The sequence below is a fragment of the Homo sapiens genome, chromosome 15 (assembly GCF_000001405.40).
Source record: "Homo sapiens chromosome 15, GRCh38.p14 Primary Assembly".
Classification (NCBI taxonomy): domain Eukaryota; kingdom Metazoa; phylum Chordata; class Mammalia; order Primates; family Hominidae; genus Homo; species Homo sapiens.
Genome location: NC_000015.10, coordinates 88,287,952 through 88,306,106, shown reverse-complemented (window position 1 = coordinate 88,306,106; position 18,155 = coordinate 88,287,952). Strand labels below are relative to the sequence as shown.

At 48.1% G+C, this 18,155-nt stretch overlaps 1 long non-coding RNA gene across 1 annotated transcript in view; it reads right to left on the bottom strand.

The window, feature by feature from the left end:
- LOC105370958 (uncharacterized) overlaps window positions 1–15,212 on the bottom strand; it is a 31,383-nt gene extending 16,171 nt beyond the window's left edge. The window contains exon 1 of the long non-coding RNA XR_932589.2: window positions 14,157–15,212. This is a non-coding gene — a long non-coding RNA (uncharacterized LOC105370958). The remainder of the gene's footprint in view (window positions 1–14,156) is intronic.
- Between the last annotated feature and the right edge of the window lie 2,943 nt (window positions 15,213–18,155).

Sequence of the window (18,155 nt, the reverse complement as noted above, 5' to 3'; positions counted from 1 at the left end):
GAGTGGCCTTGTCCCTATTATAAAGGGAAAAAAATTACTGAAGAGTTTCACACAGGGGAGACGCTATGGTCAAATATCAGATAGGGCATTTTCCTTTTCCCTTTCTCCTCACTTCTTCCTCTTTCATTTTCCATTTCTTTGCCTTCTCTCCTTCTCCTCTCTCTCCCTCCCTCCCTTTCTTCTCTCTTAATACACTATATTTTGTATATATGCCGCTTTAATTTGTATTTAGATATGAATGTTCAATGTTCTGTCTGTAAAAATACATTCTGGTGTTAGGGCCTCAGAATGTCTTAATCTGGCCCTGGATCTATTGAATGTCTTAATTCCTTTAGACGTAGCCCTGCCCCAGTGTGCCACAGGAGCGATTTGGTAGATGGAACCTTTAGTGTGGTTTAACATTTTAGTCCCATTTCCTTTGTCATGATGTTCTGCTTCTGACAGAAACTGCCAACTAGGTCAGAGACTGTTCCTGGCCATATCTTCACTCATTTACTGTTTATTAAGTGGCTCCTACGTGTGAGGCACCAAGAGATATACAACTGCCATTTAAATGTGATCTTGGCCTTCAGGGGACCATAGTCTAGGATAGTGGCCCCTAAGTGGGCATGGATCCCTCCGGAGGGCAATGGGGCTCATCTGATATGAGATATGGATATACATTGGACGGCTGATCACGCTGTGGGAAAGGTGTTCTTTTTTAGATTCTTTAACAATCCTGCTGATCGTTTTAAGGTGAAAGTCTCATCATGGTATTAGTTCATCTTTAACACCTCCCCAGTACTTGTTCATCTCCCTTTTAAATAGACAAAAAAATAGCAGACCTCAGACCCAGAGCCTTTGATAGGCGACAGATTCTAGCTGGACTTAATCATAGTGTTAGGTTTTCATTGTATTGTATCTTCTAATTGTGGTAAATATATGGTCAATTTAATGCATTGTCTTGACTGTGCTATAGAGTGCCCAGATATTTGGTCACACATTATTCTGGGTGTATCTGTGAGAGTGTTTCTGGATGAGATTAACATTTACATCGGAAGACTAAGTAAAGCAGATGGCCCTGCCTAGGTTGTGTGGGCCCCATCCAATCAGTTGAAGACCTTAAGAGAATAAAAAGGTTGACCCTCCCAAGAATAAGAGGGAATTATTTCCTTTGGGACTGCCTTGAGCTGGGACATAGTGGGTTTTTTTTCCTCCCCTTTAGACTGAAACTATAGCATCAATTCTCCTGGGTCTCCAGCTGGCTGATTAAAGATCTTGGGACTTGTCTGCCTCCATTTAAAGAGTTGCATAAAGTGTCTCTAGTCAATATATTTATTCAAATTAAAAAGAGAGCTTGTTTTTGAAAAGATATTAAGTAAATGATAATAGAGGTTGTAATAGATTTGGCAATCAAGCTGAAAAGAGTTTGGGAAATACAGAGGTTGGGAGAGGAATACAAAGAGCTGCAGAGCTTCGTAGGAAGAAGGAAGGGTCAGAAAGGCAGTGGCTGAAATCCTGACCCCTTGTGCTTCTCTCTGGGGCCCAGTGAAGGAGGCAAAGATGACAAGCCAGGGTACTGTGTCTGGAGTGTTTAAGGCAGCTGAGTGGCTGGTGTTGGGGTGTACTGACTGCTGTCACAAACAATCTCAAAACCTCAGCAATTGCACCCAATCAAAGGTCATTTCCCATTCACTCACATTATGTTTATTCAAAGGTTAGTAGGGGAGGGGATGACTCTGCCCCATGGCATTATTTGAGGGCCAGACTTCCCTTAGTGTGGGCTCCACAGAACAGCACATCCCATAGCACTTTCTGCAATTGTGAACTTGTTCTCTACCTGTGCTGTGGTGAGCAAGCATTTGAAATGTGGTTGGTGCAACTGAGGAGCTGAATTTTTAATTTTCTTTCCTATTTCTTTTTTGAGATGGAGTTTCGCTCTTGTTGCCCAGGCTGGAGTGCAATGGCACGATATTGGCTCACTGCAACCTCCACCTCCATGTTCAAGTGATTCTCCTGCCTCAGCCTCCTGAGTAGCTGGGATTATAGGCATGCGCCACCACGCCCAGCTAATTTTGTATTTTTAATAGGGGTGGGGTTTCTTCATGTTGGTCAGGCTGGTCTCGAACTCCCAACCTTAGGTGATCCCCCCCGCCCGCCTCAGCCTCCCAAAGTGCTGGGATTACAGGCATGAGCCACCATGCTTGACCAATTTTTAATTTTCTTTCATTTAAAGTAGTTTAAATTGAAATAACTGCATGTGGCTAGTGGCTACCGTATTAGTGCAGTCTCATTTGCAATCATCCATTGAGATAGATATAGAGATCGATAGAGAAAAGGGGGACATGAGAGAAAGAGAGAGAGAGGCTGGGGGGAGGAAGGAGAAAGGGAGGAGAGAGGAAGACTGAACAAGTCTATGGGCTGGGCCTAGAGGTGAAGTACACAGGTTCTTCACTTTCTTGCATTCCATTGTACTCACATCAGAACAATGTCATATGGCTGCACTGTATTCCACAGAGTGAAGTCCAGGTATGTGCCAGGAAGAGGGGGGATGGGTTTGGTGAGAATCTAGCCAATCTCTGCCACCACAAATCTGGCAGAAGAGAGTGGCAATATCTGGTGATAAGCAGTCTGGGGTGGGCACTGGGTGATAGCATAGGCAGATGGCATCAGAGAGGCTGGGCTGCTAGTGGCAGAGTTGTCCTGTGGCTGAGGTTCAGAGAGGGAATTAGCCTCTGAGTAGAAGGAAGCTATACCATGGAGAAAGTGGAGAACTGGAAGTATAGTTCCTTCTGAGACCTGGAGGAAGGATAGGCCATGGTCTCAGGAGCAAGGCAAAAGCCACCCAGAGAGGCAAGGAACAGAGTAGGCTATTTGGCAAGATGTCTGTCACTGAGTCACTGCGCATAGGAGGGCTGCCATGGGCTCCTGATATTTCCCTTCCCTTTGCTGTAGCTCCAAGGTGGGGAGGGGCTGAGAGAACAGAAGGGGCTTGGTGGGTCTAGCAGTGGGGAGAAGCGTAGTGGGAGGTGTTGCAGGGAGTCAGGCTGGTTATCGCAGAGTGAACTAAGGAGGGAAGAAGCTGCAAGGAGCTGTGGGAGAGTCATTCATTCATTGATTCAATCACTGATTCAACAAGCATGTGGAGCACCTACTGCGGGACAGGTAGAGAACAGGAGATTCTGGTGCAGTCTTTTCCACAGTGAGACATTTGGATGCACTTAAAAACCAAACCATATACTCTCAGCTATTTTAAAATTAGAAACGTACAAGCCAGACATCTTCACTCCATCCCCAAACTGCATCCCCTGGTCAACTCTCACCCCTAGGGTGAGAACCAGGGGTGGGATGGGAGTTGGGTGAGGTAGGACACAGGGATTTTAAATGCTGATATGGCTGAGCTGAATCAGTTGCATTGCAAAACTGCATGTGAACATGTCCTGCTTTTGCCAGGCACCGTGCTAAGTGTGGGCAGTTTTGTGGAGGAGGTGACACCTGAGCTGGGCTTTGAAGGAGAGGTGGGATTTGACAGGTAGAGATGGAGGGGAGAGCAGTCTAGGCAGAGGATGTAGAATGAGCAAGCTCACAGGGAGGAGAAGCGTGGGTGTGTGCACAGGAGACCAGAGTAGACCAGTTGGGCAGAGGGTGAGTGGGTGCAGTGAAAGATACAGCTGGAGAAATTTGCTGGGGCCAGGTTAGGAAAGGTGGTGAATGCCAGGCGAAGGGGATAGCTTTTATTCTAGGACTAGTGGAGGCTGCTGAAGGATTCTGAGCAAGGCAGTGGCATAACCAAGCTCTGGAAATGTGCAGGGCTGGATCGGAGAGAGGGCCAAATAGTGACAGACATGGTAGGAGGCTTTTGCAATGCACTGGAGAGGGTCCTGGACAGCTTGGACCCATGTGCAGGCAGAGGCCATCGAGAGGGCTGTGTGTGTTGTGTGTCTGTGTGTATTTGTGTGTGCATGCATGTGCATGTGCAGGGGAAGTGGGGAAAGGGGTTAGGTATTAAAAACTCTAATGCAGGATTTGGTTTCACAGCTCAACAAATATGTCTTTGTGTCTACTCTGCTTGCTTGGACATGCCTGGCTTTTGGTTGTGTGGACAGGTCAAGAGAGTGGGGGCATTTCACACATCACCATCCTTTTCTAGAAGAAAAACTCAAGGACTGTGCTGCTTGCTTAGGTAAAGAGGTGGATACTGCTGATTTCTTCTGAAACAGCAACTTCAATCTGAGAGAGAGGCTGCAGCTCAGATGGAAGTCCCGTGAGTCTGTGTCTTGGAAGATCAAGAAAGGGCAAGAATGGAAGGTGCTTTTCAGCTTGGGTCTCCATGGGAGCCACACCCAGGCTAAAGGAGAAGAGAACACAGGTGAATATAGAGGCTGATGGAAAACAAAACAGCAGCAGTGGTGGCAACGGCACTGAGCCAGATGAAAGCACAGTGGTGAGCAGGTTAATTCCCCCTGGCTGTCTGGATGCCTGAAATGGAAGCATAAACATTATAGAATTGGATGTTTTGCATTACATTACAGGCCTGCCTATGCAGGGGGTTGTGCTTTTTAAGGGGGAATTTGGTGAGTCAATTTGAGTCTATGGCAGCAACCTGATTCTTTTTTGCCAATGCCAGCTGGGGGTTTGGAAAGGGAGATTTCCTTTTCTACCGAAGACATTCAGTGTGGAAACCCAATGCAGCAGAGTAATAGGCATTCCATATAGGACTATGAAGGCAACAATTTCCTCATTGTGTGTATTTCCGTAATAGCTACAAGAGTCTGTCATTCTTGCCCTACATAAGTGCCCAATTACAGAGGTTTCAAAGAGGGAGAAAGTCTTCAAGGTACTTGGTTTTCGGGCCTTTTTTGATTCTGTTTTCATTTTTCATTGTGGTTTTAATCCCAAATGAAACTGGCAAGAAAAGGCAGCGTGTTATCTCAGCAAAGTTTATCTCCTGCTCATTCCGCTCAGGGAGAAGCTGGCAGAGCCTCCAGCAATCAATCCCTCCCTTCTCCTGAGTGAGTGGGCTACAAATGCATGGGCTGGGCTGGAGCCAGCCAGGCACCTACCCCTAGTTTGGTAGAGAAATCATGGCCTGATGATCAACAAAGCAAATTTACCGCCTGCTTTAGCAACATCCATCCTGCTTCTGAGCTCACAGTGAGGAATCCAGACCTCAGAGCAAATTCTCACCAACATCCACAGAGCGCCTCTTGCAAGGCCTTTCTTCACTTTCCTACATCCAGTCCTCAGCATATTGACCAGTCAGAAATGTGCCAATCATCTTTACCCACAAACGGTTTACTCAAACCCCAGCTCTGCTCTGTGACTTTGACAATTTGCTTAGCTCTTCTAAGCCTCAGTTTCCTCATCTGTAAAATGGGGGTCTGTAATAAAAATCCGGTTCCTGGGGCTGCTGTGAAGGCCAGATTGGTCCATTTGGGCCAAATGACTTCAGGAGCTGCGGTCTGACAAGGCTGGACATCCCTCTGCTCTGAATGACTGTGAGGGAATGGGGCAGATACAAGCTGGGTGTGACCTTTGCTTTAGCATCTGTGAGCTGTGAGACCTGGAGCAAGTTATTTCAGCTGCGGAAACTTTATTTTCTTCCTCTAAATAATGGGAGTAATAATAGCACCTAGGGCATAGGGTGGTGGGAGGACTGAATGTGACAGTGGATGTGCAAGAACAAGAGCTCACACTCACAGGGCACTCAGCACGTGGGAAGCATGGCTGTAAGCACTTTCCATGTGGGGCCAGTTGGCCAGGCGGGCATCCAACATTTATTCTGCACCTGTGACACCTAGCCCCATGCCAGGCAACTGGGACTGAATGAGGCACACGGCAGATGTGGTCTCTGCCCGCCCACGTTATGGGGCAGGGGAGGAGATGGGGTGACCAGGCACATGCCGTGAGAAGGGATGCATGCTGCAGTGGGGGATGGGGTTCGCATGAAGGAGACTTATTGCCTCTGAGAAACTCCTAGCTCAGCAGAGAGGTTAAAGAGGTTGGAGTCTTTCTACGGCTGGCAGTGGCTGCCATTCACCTTTAGGATCTGGAACTCTGAGCAGGGAGGCTGGTCAGCAGGGGTGAAATGGGGCTGCTCTTTGAGCAGGGTCTAAGCTGAGGAGCTGGAGCATGTGAAACACCAAGGTGTAACCCTCCAGGTGCACATATTTGAAGCTGCCGTTTCCTTGGCCAAAGCTCCCAGCCCGGGGGAGTCTTGTAGGGAGATACTGGCTGCTCTCATCCTGCAGATTTCAGGGAAGAGCAGGTGAAAGGGACCCCTAAGCCAGGGCTGATGGGCTCTCCAGCTACCCTTGAGCAGGCATTTTGTAGCAAGTATCTCTTCCTGTGAAACTCCCCTCCCAGACCTGCATTCCCAAGCAGCTCAGCATATGGACAGAATCTGCAGGAGGCCGGGGGAGTGGGGAGGGGTGTCCAGCCCAAAGCATGTCACAGATGCCCACGGAGAGCTGGGGAGGATTAGAGCGAATCATTAATTGTCATTAATATGCTGGGGCTTAACAGCCCTGGGTTTATTTTTACACTGAAGACCAGACGTGCCTTGCACATGTCCCTGGATTCTGGGCTCTGGGGGAGAAGGGAAAACTGGTTGCACTTGTCATCTGCCAGCCTCTCCAGGATTGGACAGTGGACCTTTGGCTTGGCTCCATGGCCTGGCAGAAACCATAGCTTCCAAGGAGCCCCTCACCCTCCTTCCTTTCTGGTTTTCTTCCTGTGGCTTGTTGACCTGTTGGCCAAGGGCCTCAGGGATGAAGGGAGCAGTCCAGACGGAAGATAAATGATGTCACAGAAAAGGCTGCCATTCAAGGGTTAAACTGCTACCTAGAAGAGTGATGTATCAAAAGGAAAGCCTTTGGCCAGGTGCGGTGGCTCACGCCTGCAATCCCAGCACTTTGGGATGCCAAGGCGGGTGGATTGCCTGAGGTTAGGAGTTCGAGACCAGCCTGGCTAACATAGTGAAACCCCGTCTGCACTAAAAATACAAAAAATTATCTCGGTATGGTGGCGGGCACCTGTAATTTCAGCTACTCGGGAGGCTGAGGCAGGAGAATCGCTTGAACCTGGGAGGTGGAGGTTGCAGTGAGCCAAGATTGTGCCACTGCACTTCAGCCTGGGCAACAAGAGCAAAACTCCATCAAAAAAAGAAAGAAAGAAAGAAAAGAAAAAAGAAAAGAAAAGCCTTTACAGCAGGACTTTTATAGATACTAACTTCTATAGAAGAAAAAGGAATTCTGGATCGCCCTTCCTTTCAAATAGTTATTGAAAACCCAAGGTTGCCTCTAAAATTGATTTTGTAATCCTTACGAGAAGCTGGTGGCTCTTGCTGGAGACACTCCTGTTAGCCAATATTGTCCTCTAAGGCTAGAGGCCCCATGAGGAGGTGGATATGGGGGTTCCATGAATCCTTGAAGAATTTCATTGAGCATTTACTCTGTGCCAGCACTGAGCTGGGCCTGGGAATTCATCACGCTGAGCACACTGGTTGTGCGTGGAAGTCTCCATCAGCAGACAGCAGTGGGGTCCTGTCTTCCAAGTGGTAGGCACCCTGTTATCTCTCCTTTCCCCATACTTCTGCCAGCTTTCCTTCTGGGGCTTTTGTCCTTTTCCTCTTTGCCGGCATTTGGGAGAACTTCATCAGTTTCTAGGTGGTTGAATTAGTTTCCTATGGCTGTTATAGCAAAACCATAAACTTGGCGGCTTCAAACAACACACATTGATTACAGTTCTGTAGGTTAGAAGTCTGACATGGGTCTCACTGGACTGGAATGAAGGTGTCTGCGTGGCTGTGTTCCTTTCTGGAGGCTCCATGGGAGAATCTGTCCCCTGCTTTTTTCAGCTTCTAGAGGTACACGCTTTCCTTGGCTTGTGATTTCTTCATCTATCTTCAAAGCCAGCAATGTTGCATGGCTCCAGGCCTTTCTTCCACAGCCATATTGCCGTTATTCTGCTTAGTGGGTTCTTCACTATTGTTTGGTAGCATTGCTAGCTGTTCCTCCTGCACCTGTGTTTGTGGGGATGCAGGGCTCCTGGCACGGTTGGACAGAGGATGGAAAAGCACCTTCATGTCCTGGAGAAGGAGCCCTGTGCTGAGTATTGGGTGGGAGGTGGTGCCTTCTGAGATCCCTCCCACTCCAAGGGTTGTGATTTGATGACTCTGTGTTATGGACTGAATTGTGCCCTCCTCAAAATTCATACACTCAAGCCCTAACTCCCAATGTGATTATACGTGGAGAGAGTGTCTTTAAAAGAGGTCATTAGTTGGGAGGCCGAGGTGGGCGGATCACGAGGCCAGGAGATCGAGACCATCCTGGCTAACACGGTGAAACCCCATCTGTATTAAAAATACAAAAAATTAGCCGGGCATGGTGGCGGGCGCCTGTAGTCCCAGCTACTCGGGAGGCTGAGGCAGGAGAATGGCGTGAACCCGGGAGGCGGAGCTTGCAGTGAGCCGAGATCGCACCACTGCACTCCAGCCTGGGTGACAGAGTGAGACTCCGTCTCAAAAAAAAAAAAAGAGGTCATTAGGTTACATGAGGTCATAAGGGTGGGCCCTAATCCAGTATGACCGATGTCCTTGTAAGAAGACGACGAGACACCAGGGATGAGTGTGCACAGAGAAGAGGCCACATGAGGCTACAGCAAGGAGGTGGCCATCTGCAAGTCAAGGAAACCAACCCCATTGACACCTCAGTCTTAGACTTCTAACCTTCAGACCGTGCAAAAATAAATTTCTGTTGTTGAAGCCACTGAGTGTATGGTATTTTGTTATGGCAGCCCTAGCAAGTAAGATAGCCAGGCTGGAAGACAGGATCAGTGTTCATCTCAGGCAACATTGCCATCTCACCTGGCTCAGTGCCCGTGGAGAAAGTTTACTGCTGGCGTGTGACCTAATGGCTCCGTTGATCCTTCCCCTCCCTCCCATCTATTTTCTGGGATCTTCTTTCATTCAAAGGTGAGTCTTTGGAACAAACATCACTTTCTTTGTCTGAATTCTTGTGGGTTATTTTCTGAGTTCTTGAAGGTTTATTGTGATTCATTTGAGGGTGTCCTTGATGAAACCAAGAACGACCCACAACTGGAAGTCTCCTGGATATGGTTTGTAGTGGAGAGAGTCTGAAGACCTTTGTGAGGGTCACTTAGAATACTTAAAACAACATGATTTCATCTTGGATCTCACTTGTCTTACCTTGAAACAAAGACGCAAGATTAGATCAGGGATGGCAAAGAGGTTTGCCAGTTCCAATTAATTCAGAGTGGTTGCCTGGGACTAGCAGGAAAGAATGCTACCACCAATTAGCCATGTCTGCAAAGGGATGCAGGAGGAGAGAAAGGTAGCATATATATCACGTATCTGCCATCTCAGAATCAGAGTCTTAAATTAAGGTCTCTTCCAGCTCAAAGTTTTTAAGACCCTTGCTGATCAGAGGTTCATGCAGACCCAGGATCCAAATGTTGCCTGGTATCTTGTCTGGAGTAATATTTCTACCCTGCTGCCTTGGACCACCCACACTCTTGCAGTCTCCTGCTGCTTCCCTTTCATTTGCTCTCTCTCCTTGCTGGCACACGAAGTCTTGGGGTACCCATTCCAAGCTTTCCTCTCACTGCTAATTAAGGCATTTCTTCGGAGCCCTATTGTTTAATGACTCACATTGCCCTTCAGCCCACATCCCCCAGGCCCCCTTTGGGATCCAACTCTGATTTCATTAAGATTTGTTCTGTTGCCAGTGGCCATCAGTGGAAGATCCGCTTTTAAACTGGAAAACCACTCAAACCTTTTGAAGTTGGTCCTCAGCAAAGTCCAATCAGAGGGAACGTAAGGGTTGATTTTTTTTTCTTTTAAAGAAAAGAGTGCTCTGTGTGTGTGTGTGTGTGTGTGTGTGTGTGTGTTTCCCCCCAAAGAAAGCGTTTCAAATGCTCATTAGGCAAAAATATCTATTTTACATGCACTGTAATTGTTCTATCTAAGATGAAATATATTATTTTTCTTAAGTAAAGCTACAGGCAGTTTATTAGCAGAGCTTATTAACCCACAATCAGGAACTGGCTCACCTCTAATCACAACCTGCCTGCATTCTTCACAGGCAATGTGGTAGTGCTACAGCACTTATATTTATAAATATGTGCAATGCAATATGAACTATATTTATGGGGACAGCATCAATTTTTTTAGCCACAAAACCTGACCTCCCTAAAACAGATGGTGAGAGAACTGGACTGCCGATCTAGGGCTGGAGATGGAGACTCTTCATCTCTTTAGCAAGAGCTTTTTTTTTAAAAAAAAACAAAAACAAAAACAAAACAACCTATTATCCTGTTAGGCCTTTTCCTTCCAGTGAGTATTTCCAAGTGAAGGGTTGTCTAGTGCACTGTGTGTTGCAAGCCAGCTGTCTCCTGGTGGGTGGGCATCAGCCTCTTCTTCACCTCCCTCAGTTCCTCACTGCAGGGAATGAATGAAGGTAGCCCCAGTGAGACTGGCAGGTGTCTTGGCCAAGGGAGATTGTCTGAGGAAGGTGAACAGGTCTGCTGGGGCTTGGGCAAAGGTCAAGCTGAAGGAATTCCTCCCAGCATTCAGGGAACTCTGCCAGTCAAGGCAGAAATTGTCCCATTGGTGGTAGGTGGCACATATTAGGTTAGTTTAAAGGGATATCTGCCAGAGACCTTGGAATGCTCATGTCTTGACCCAACAACGATGCTTTGGCAGGGTTTTAAGACATTGAGTGGGAGTAGAGAACCAAATAGGAATAAAGAATCACTTTTGCTGGACTCTATGATAAAGAGTGCCTTAAAGCCTGAAAGCACATCTTAGGTGTTCACTAACTGTGGCCAGCTGAACAGAAGGCATTGAAAGAAAAACAGCCAGGTCCCAAGAGGATCCTCTGTATAGACTGGAGGGAAGAGACAGCTGAGTGTAGACACACAGTAACCTCAGGCACCCTAGTGAATGCTCTGTACCCGGATGGATTCGATGGCTATTTCTTCCTGCGGTGGAATGGGGTAGTTGTGAGGTAAGCAGGAAGGAAGATGCCAAGGGAATCTAATTCTTAATAAAAGTAATTGCTTATTTGATGAAAGGGGGGAAGGGAGGAAGGAAGGGAGGGAGGGTAGGAGGAAAGAAAGAAGCGACATTCAGAATCTAGTATATGTCAGGCAGTATGTCAAATACTTTTATACCCGTTATTTCACTTAATTCTTCAACCCTTTGAGGCAAAATGTATCACCTTCATTTTATGGAAGTGGAATTAACATAGAATCTTTTTAAAAATCAGCATTTGGACCCAGGCCCATCCAGATCTCTTTCCACCTACCATTTTTCAGGTATCCCCTTAAGTGAGAAGTGTTTGCTTGTTGAATAATGCGACCACAAGGCTCTTAATGTACTTCTAATCCAGACCCTTGTTCTTTACATCAATGGGGTAAAATTTCCCTGTCGATTCAATCAGGGGAGTCTCAAAGGTTTCATAGCGTCTCTAGTTGTATCAAGCCTAGCCTCTGCCTATATGAGGCTCTGGTGACTTCACCTAAGTTAGAAGGGAAAGCCTGTCTGGGCACTGTGGCTCACACCTGTAATCTCAGCACTTTGGGAGGTCAAGGAGTTAGAGGCTGGCCTGGCCAACATGGTGAAACTCCATCTTTACTAAAAATACAAAAATTCGCTGGGCATGGTAGTGTGTGCATGTAATCTCAGCTACTCAGGAGGCCGAGGCAGGAAAATTGCTTGAATCCATGAGGCAGGGGTTGCAGTGAGCCGAGATTGCGCCACTGCACTCCAGCCTGGGTGATAGAATAAGACTCCATCTCAAAAAAAAAAAAAAAAAGAAAAAGAAAAAAAGTTGTCGGGGGGAACCCAGCTATTGCGTTTATTACATAACAGATAAGTGTAGGCATACTATGTCAGTTGGCCTTAACTTCCTGGCAAAGCCAAGGGGTATTCCTGTAGGGACAAGAGATAGGGTATAGAGATTCTCCGGTTTGTGGTAGGCGAGAGATTTCAGTAGAAAGGAATGGAGACTCTCAGCTCATTTGTATCCAAATACTGTGCCAAGGTTTCCTTTTGTCCCCTATGGTAGAAGAACTGGCTCTCTTGGGTGGTATCCACTGCCCTTTTCTGGCTTATTTGTTTTCAAGGCTGGGAATAGAAGCATCTGGGATGCAAACTGGATGGGGGCCATGCATGGGGCCAGAAGGTGCATCTCAGGTGCCAAGACTGGACGGCTGGAGGAGCATCTACAAAGTGCTGGGGGCCTGGGACAAAGAGTGGGATCCACATGGCAGTGATAGCTCAGGTAGAAGCCAGGAGCAACCAGAGCAAGAAGTCATCAGTCAGAACAGGTGAGCTGGAAAAGTTTTAGAAGCAAGATCCAGTGCCCTGTAATGGAGTTTATGTGTGAGTGTGGCTATGGGTACACCAGGATCACTCTTTTTTTTTTGGTGGGAGTCTTTGAAATGAAAGCTCAATTCCTTTTAGGGTCACATGAATTCACTCAAATAAGGTTGTATCTTTTGAGCCTGGGCAAGACATCACAAACTTACCCTGATGAAACCTTCTTCTAAAATCACTATTCTCCAAATTTATGAGATTGGTTGGAAATGTGAGGAGAGAGAAGCAAATCAATAGATAACCAAGTTATTCTTTGGGTCCTGCATCCATCTCCTCTTTCTTGGAAAGTTTTCCTGTTACTTGTCAGAAAAGGAGTTCAAGAGGTAGGTGTACCAGATGTACGAGGAATGAGTAGCTCAGTGCTTGCAGTATTAATGTAAGTCTGGCGATAGGGTGCGAGGCCTATATTTAAAAACACAGATTCCCTTCTCTGAACTTCACCTTCCCTAGGTGTGAAATGAAGCAGACGAGTTGGCCATCTCAGTAAAGAGCTGAAGCACTGGTTATTAGTTATGACAACAAAATGTCTCAAAAGCTGTGTTGCATAGGTGAACCTTGAAGACATTGTACTGAGTGAAATAAAACAATCACAAAAGGCCAGATACTTATGTTTCTATTTATATGAGGTACCTAGAGTAGTCAGAATCACAGAGACAGAAAGTAGAATGATGGCTTCCAGGGGCTGGAGAGAGTGGGGGATGGGAAGTTATTGCTGAATGGAGACAGAGTTTTTTGGGAAGAGGAAAAAAGTTCTAGAGATGGATGCTGGTGATGGTTGCACAACCATGTGAATGGACCACTGATGCATACACTTAAAAGTTCTAGAGATGCGTACACTTAAAAGTTCTAGAAAAAAGTTCTAGAGATGGATGCTGGTGATGGTTGCACTACCATGTGAATGTACCACTGATGCGTACACTTAAAAATGATTAAAATGGTAAATTTTACATTAAGTGTATTCTACCATAACTAAAGAAAAAAGCTATATTGTCTACAAGAGGGCCATAAGGTCAAGAAGCCCAGTTTATAAGACTGAGGCATGCCCTCGAACAGGTGCACAGGTCAGCCCCCTGTTCTAGACAGGCTCACCATGGCCATCAATGGACTTTTAGGCCACCTGTTCTTAAATGTGAAAAACAGCAGTGGACTTCTTCTCTCCAAGAAAAACAAAACAAAACAAAACTTTGTCACAAATTCCATTATATGAAGCAGACAATGAAGAGATCACAACTTCGTGGAGCGAGAAGCCAGGCACAAAAGCCACAGTGGCACAAAGTGGGATGAGGTCAGCATGCGTGTCCCACCCTAGGGTCGCAGGTGGGTGTAGCAAAAGGAGAGGCCACTGGCACCATGTGATGCTTGACACCAGAGAGCTGTGTGAGCTTCGTGTCTCTATCCTTGGTGTGAGGTACGGGCTTCCATCAAGTGTGTCTCTCTGGCCACAAGGAGGCAAGGCCATGATGCAGCGGAACCTACCCCCTCTCCCAGCAGCCTGGTCCACGGCCCCTTTTGCAGGATTCCCTCCTGCAGGATGCCCTGTAGCATCACCCCCAAGGATAATCTGGGAAAGCTTCTGCTAGGCCAGCATCATCTCTGCTTCCTAAATAAGGAACCTAGTTGGCCTTGGCCAGAGATGACATCCTATATTGGCCCCTTTCATGGACCTAAAGCATCTGGATGGATCAAGAACTCTTTTGGTTGCAAGTGACAGAAACCAAACCCAAAGTGGCTTAAACTCGAATAAAACTTATCAATTCAGTGTGTAACTGAAACTTACCAGTTCAGTGTGTAACTGAAATGTCAGGTACAGCTGGCTCCAGGGGCTCAAATAATGCCGTCCGCTTTCTTTCTTTATCTTGCTTGCTTACTCCACAGTTTGTTTTCCATTTATCTTCCTCTCTCTCTGGCAGACCCTCTCCACATGATGACTGTTGGCAGCAAGAGGCTCATGTCATGCCTCTGCCTGGCAGTCCGTCCCAAGTTTTCTTTTTCTCAACAGGATTTACTTTCCAGCTCATGCATTAGCTATTGGCATGGCCAGGGGTCACGAGTGGAATACTCTGATTGGCCAGGCCTGGGACACTTGCCACCCGAAGCCAGGGTGTGAGGCCAGTGCCACCCCCAACCATGGGTGGAGCATGAGGGAGGAATTGGTCCCTGGAGAGGAAGTGGGTACAGTGACCAGAACAGGAAGCAGAGACCAGTCAGGCAGTGATGAGAGACACACCTTTCCAAGCCCATTGTGACAGGTGTGAGAAGGGCATGAGAAGCTGCCCAGGGCTTAGGAACTCTCTAAGCTCCTGTCTCTCTGCTTCTCCTGCCCTGACCCACTGCCTTCAGTGTCTCCCCTGGTGTCTGGGCCCATTTTGGCTTTTCTCCTTGACTTCTACTCTCTCTCTCCAACCCTGGGGTTGGTGACCTCAGTTCAGATGATTCGGTGTGGCTGGTAACTGACCCTCCCTCATGATAGGACTTCCATTGTCTGCCCTGTGACTGCACTGGCCTGCCCCAGCCCACCACCACCCGACACAAGGATGGGGGTGAAGTGCAGGACCACAGGGACGGTGCCCTAGTTTAGAGGAACTCACATTTGGGAGGCTTCAATTTCACCTTCCTCACCCTGCCAAGATTCAGAGCCTCAAACTCTTTCTCCCCCTTCCAAGTTATTTTCTTCGTTTGTCAGGTCCCTGTTGTGATGTGTGGCATTTGCTGCTGAGTGGTGTCGGTTTGTTATTTTCACCCTGTTTTGTGCCCTGACACTTCCCAGAGGTGCAGGCATATTCTAAAATAATGAGCTCCCCATGGCCAAGAGAGCCTGACCCCTCTGCAGTGGTTTCAGCAGCTCTGGTCTCCAGGAGGGGACCAGGAGTTTTGCTTGGGGCCCAGTGCTGGAGGGGCTGGGATGAGCCCACTGGGATAGAAGAGAATGTCCTGTGGGGGTGCAGAGGGCCAGAGCTGGAAGGTGTCTGGGTGGAGGTGAATATCACAGGTGTAGGTGGCTGGGCCTCAGAGGTGCTGCTCTGGGTGGCAGCACCAGGTCCCACCCAGGCAGACTAGAGGTCATTGAGTGCATCAGGCCCTGAAGAAACCTGCTCATGATGGCTAAACTCTCCAGGAGCCCCAGAGTGGTGGTGGCTGATTTGCCGTGAAGGATCTGGGCAGGGTGGGGTGGGGCCGGATGAGGGGGCTCCAGATCAGAATGCACACAGGTGAGCCCCTGCCTTGCCAGTGTCAAGGTACAAGGGATCCTTCCATCATTTGAAGGTGGTTCCATGTCCGTGCTGGTGGCATGTGCTTCCAAGATCCAGCTGGAAGGAGATTTCTTGCCCTGTGGGGTCCTGTGTCCTTACGCCACCTTCTGTGGCTGTTGGAGAAGGGTATTCCTCCATGGTGGGGCACATGCCTACCATCCCTGGACAGAGAAGGCCTTGGGGCTCTTTGAAGCCACCCACTCCAGTTCTTCCTCCTCTTTTCCAGTTCCCACAAGGCCTCCCTCCTTTGCTGGTTCTGGCCACAGTAATTCACTGTTTGAATTCAATGGTATCCCGTTTAACTGTTACCACTCCCAAGTGTCAGGTGATGCTTCTTTGATGATGAGGCAAGATCCAGTCGTGTTGGAAAGAGGACAGCCGTGAGCTCTGGAGTGAGGTGGACGTGGATTCATGTTCTGGCTGCACCTCTCACAAGTTAAATGACTGGTGTGAGTCACTCAGCTTCTGTAAGCCTTAGCTTTCTCACTGACAAAGTGGGTTGATAGAATTGCCCTCTTTTCAGGACTGTTGTGAGGATGAAATCAAGCAAACATTGATTCCTTCACTAAGTATTTACTGCATGCCTAATACCTGCAAAGTGCTGTTCTAGGCACTCCGTTGCACTCATGAAACAGTTCCAGTGGATGGGATGCAAGCAATGCATATAAAAATCCTTGGCAAAGAGAAGGGGGGGGGGGTGCCCTGATGGTACCACACAGTGGGCCGTGGCTTTTGGAAGGATTTCTATTGCTGCCAATGCTGTTGGAGACTCTGATGCAGACCTGCCCCAGAGTCTGGACTGGACAAGCCTTGCCAGCTGGTGTGGGGCAGGGTGAGCAGTCCTGCCCCCTCACTTCAGGGTGAGTCTTTGCTTTGCTGACTAGAGGGGCTGGTTTCCTGGAACTCCCTGAGCTTTTGTCCTCAGGACTCTTCCCACAAGCCTTTGCAGTCTCGTTCTTCAAACTCAGTCCAGGTGAAGATGATGGTGTGTGATTCATCAGCCCAGAGTCAGAGAAGGCTGATAGCTAGGCGGCCTGTCTTTGCCCCAAGAGGTGGGCTGAGGTTGACTCTTGCTGCCCAACATCCTGGGTACATGCACTTGCATGCACGCACACACACACACACACACACACACACACACACACACACACACACACACACACACACACTGTTTCCCACACCATCTGCTGTGAGGCCCTCCCTTCCCCAGGATGCTCTTCCGTGGATGTAGCACTGACCATGACCTCACAACACAGCCATATGTGACCCACTCAGGTGCCCTTCAAGCAAGGAGTGAAAGAGAGGGGCCAGCCAGATCCAGAGAGAAAGAGAACCCCGTTGACTAGCTTTTGAAGGTTCCTTTTGGATCCAGGGCCTTAGCTGCCTCTTCCTTGGGGTCTCTATAGGTGGAAGGTAACACCCTTGTTTCAGCCCTACACGACCCCTCAGCTTGCCTGGATTGTCCCCAACTCTAAGACCTCACCCTGGAGGCACAGTCTCTGGACCTCCCCATACCCTCTTCCTCCTAGGAGGAGAGTTGAGATGCTAAAGAATAAAGGAGAAATGGGGCTCAAGATACCAGTGGGTGGGGCAGGCTGGCAGGGAGCCACTGCTCTCCCGGGGCAGGTTTTTCTTGTTCTTTCTACACGACTCCCTAGGACACCACGGGTGGCTATTTGACCCTGGAGCACTGGACTTCTCCAGAGAGGTAAGGCCTCTCCTGCAGCCCTAGGTCTTCTCCACTACAGCCAGAAATTTAATTTGTAAAGATTTTCCCTGGCCTGAACTATGGCTCCCTTACCTTGTCTCTCTGGCTGCTGCTGAAGCTGGCTCCTCCTCTTTTCTCTCTGTTTTCAGATTTCTTGGATGAAATTGATTCTCTCTGAGACTCTCACCCCAAATGCAGCTCAGAGCAGAAGGGTCAGCAAATATTTTTTTTCTCCAGCAGGCTATCTCTCTCGTCTGATGAGCAGTGCCCATGAAACCCTCAGATCTGGTGTTTGTGCATGCATGTATGTGCATGTGTGTGCATGTGCATCCACGTGCGTGTATGTGCATGCATGTGCATGTTGTATGTGTGTATGTGCATGCGTGTGCATGTGCGTTCATGTGTGTGCATGCCTGTCTATGTGTGGGTGCATGTTTGTGTATGTATGTGCATGTTTGTGCATGTCTGCATGTATGTGCATGTGTGCGCGCGCGTATATGTCCGTGTGGGTGCACATGCATACATGTCTGTGCATGTGTGTGCATGCCTGTGTATGTGTTTGCATGTGTGTGCATGTCTATGCATGTGTGTGCATGTGTGTGAGATGAATGTGGTGAATGAGAAGGAATCCAGGGAGAGGATGCAGCTTTTTTAACAGAGGTGAATGTGATGCCCCAAAAGACAACAGCTCTGTCCTTCCAAGACTGGCCAGAGCAGGCTACAGCAGCAGGCTCTCCTTTGGCATCTGAGTGAGCTGCCCCTTCCCCCTGGAAACTGATGGGGGAAGGGAGAGGCAGCTTCTACATGTAGAAGGGCC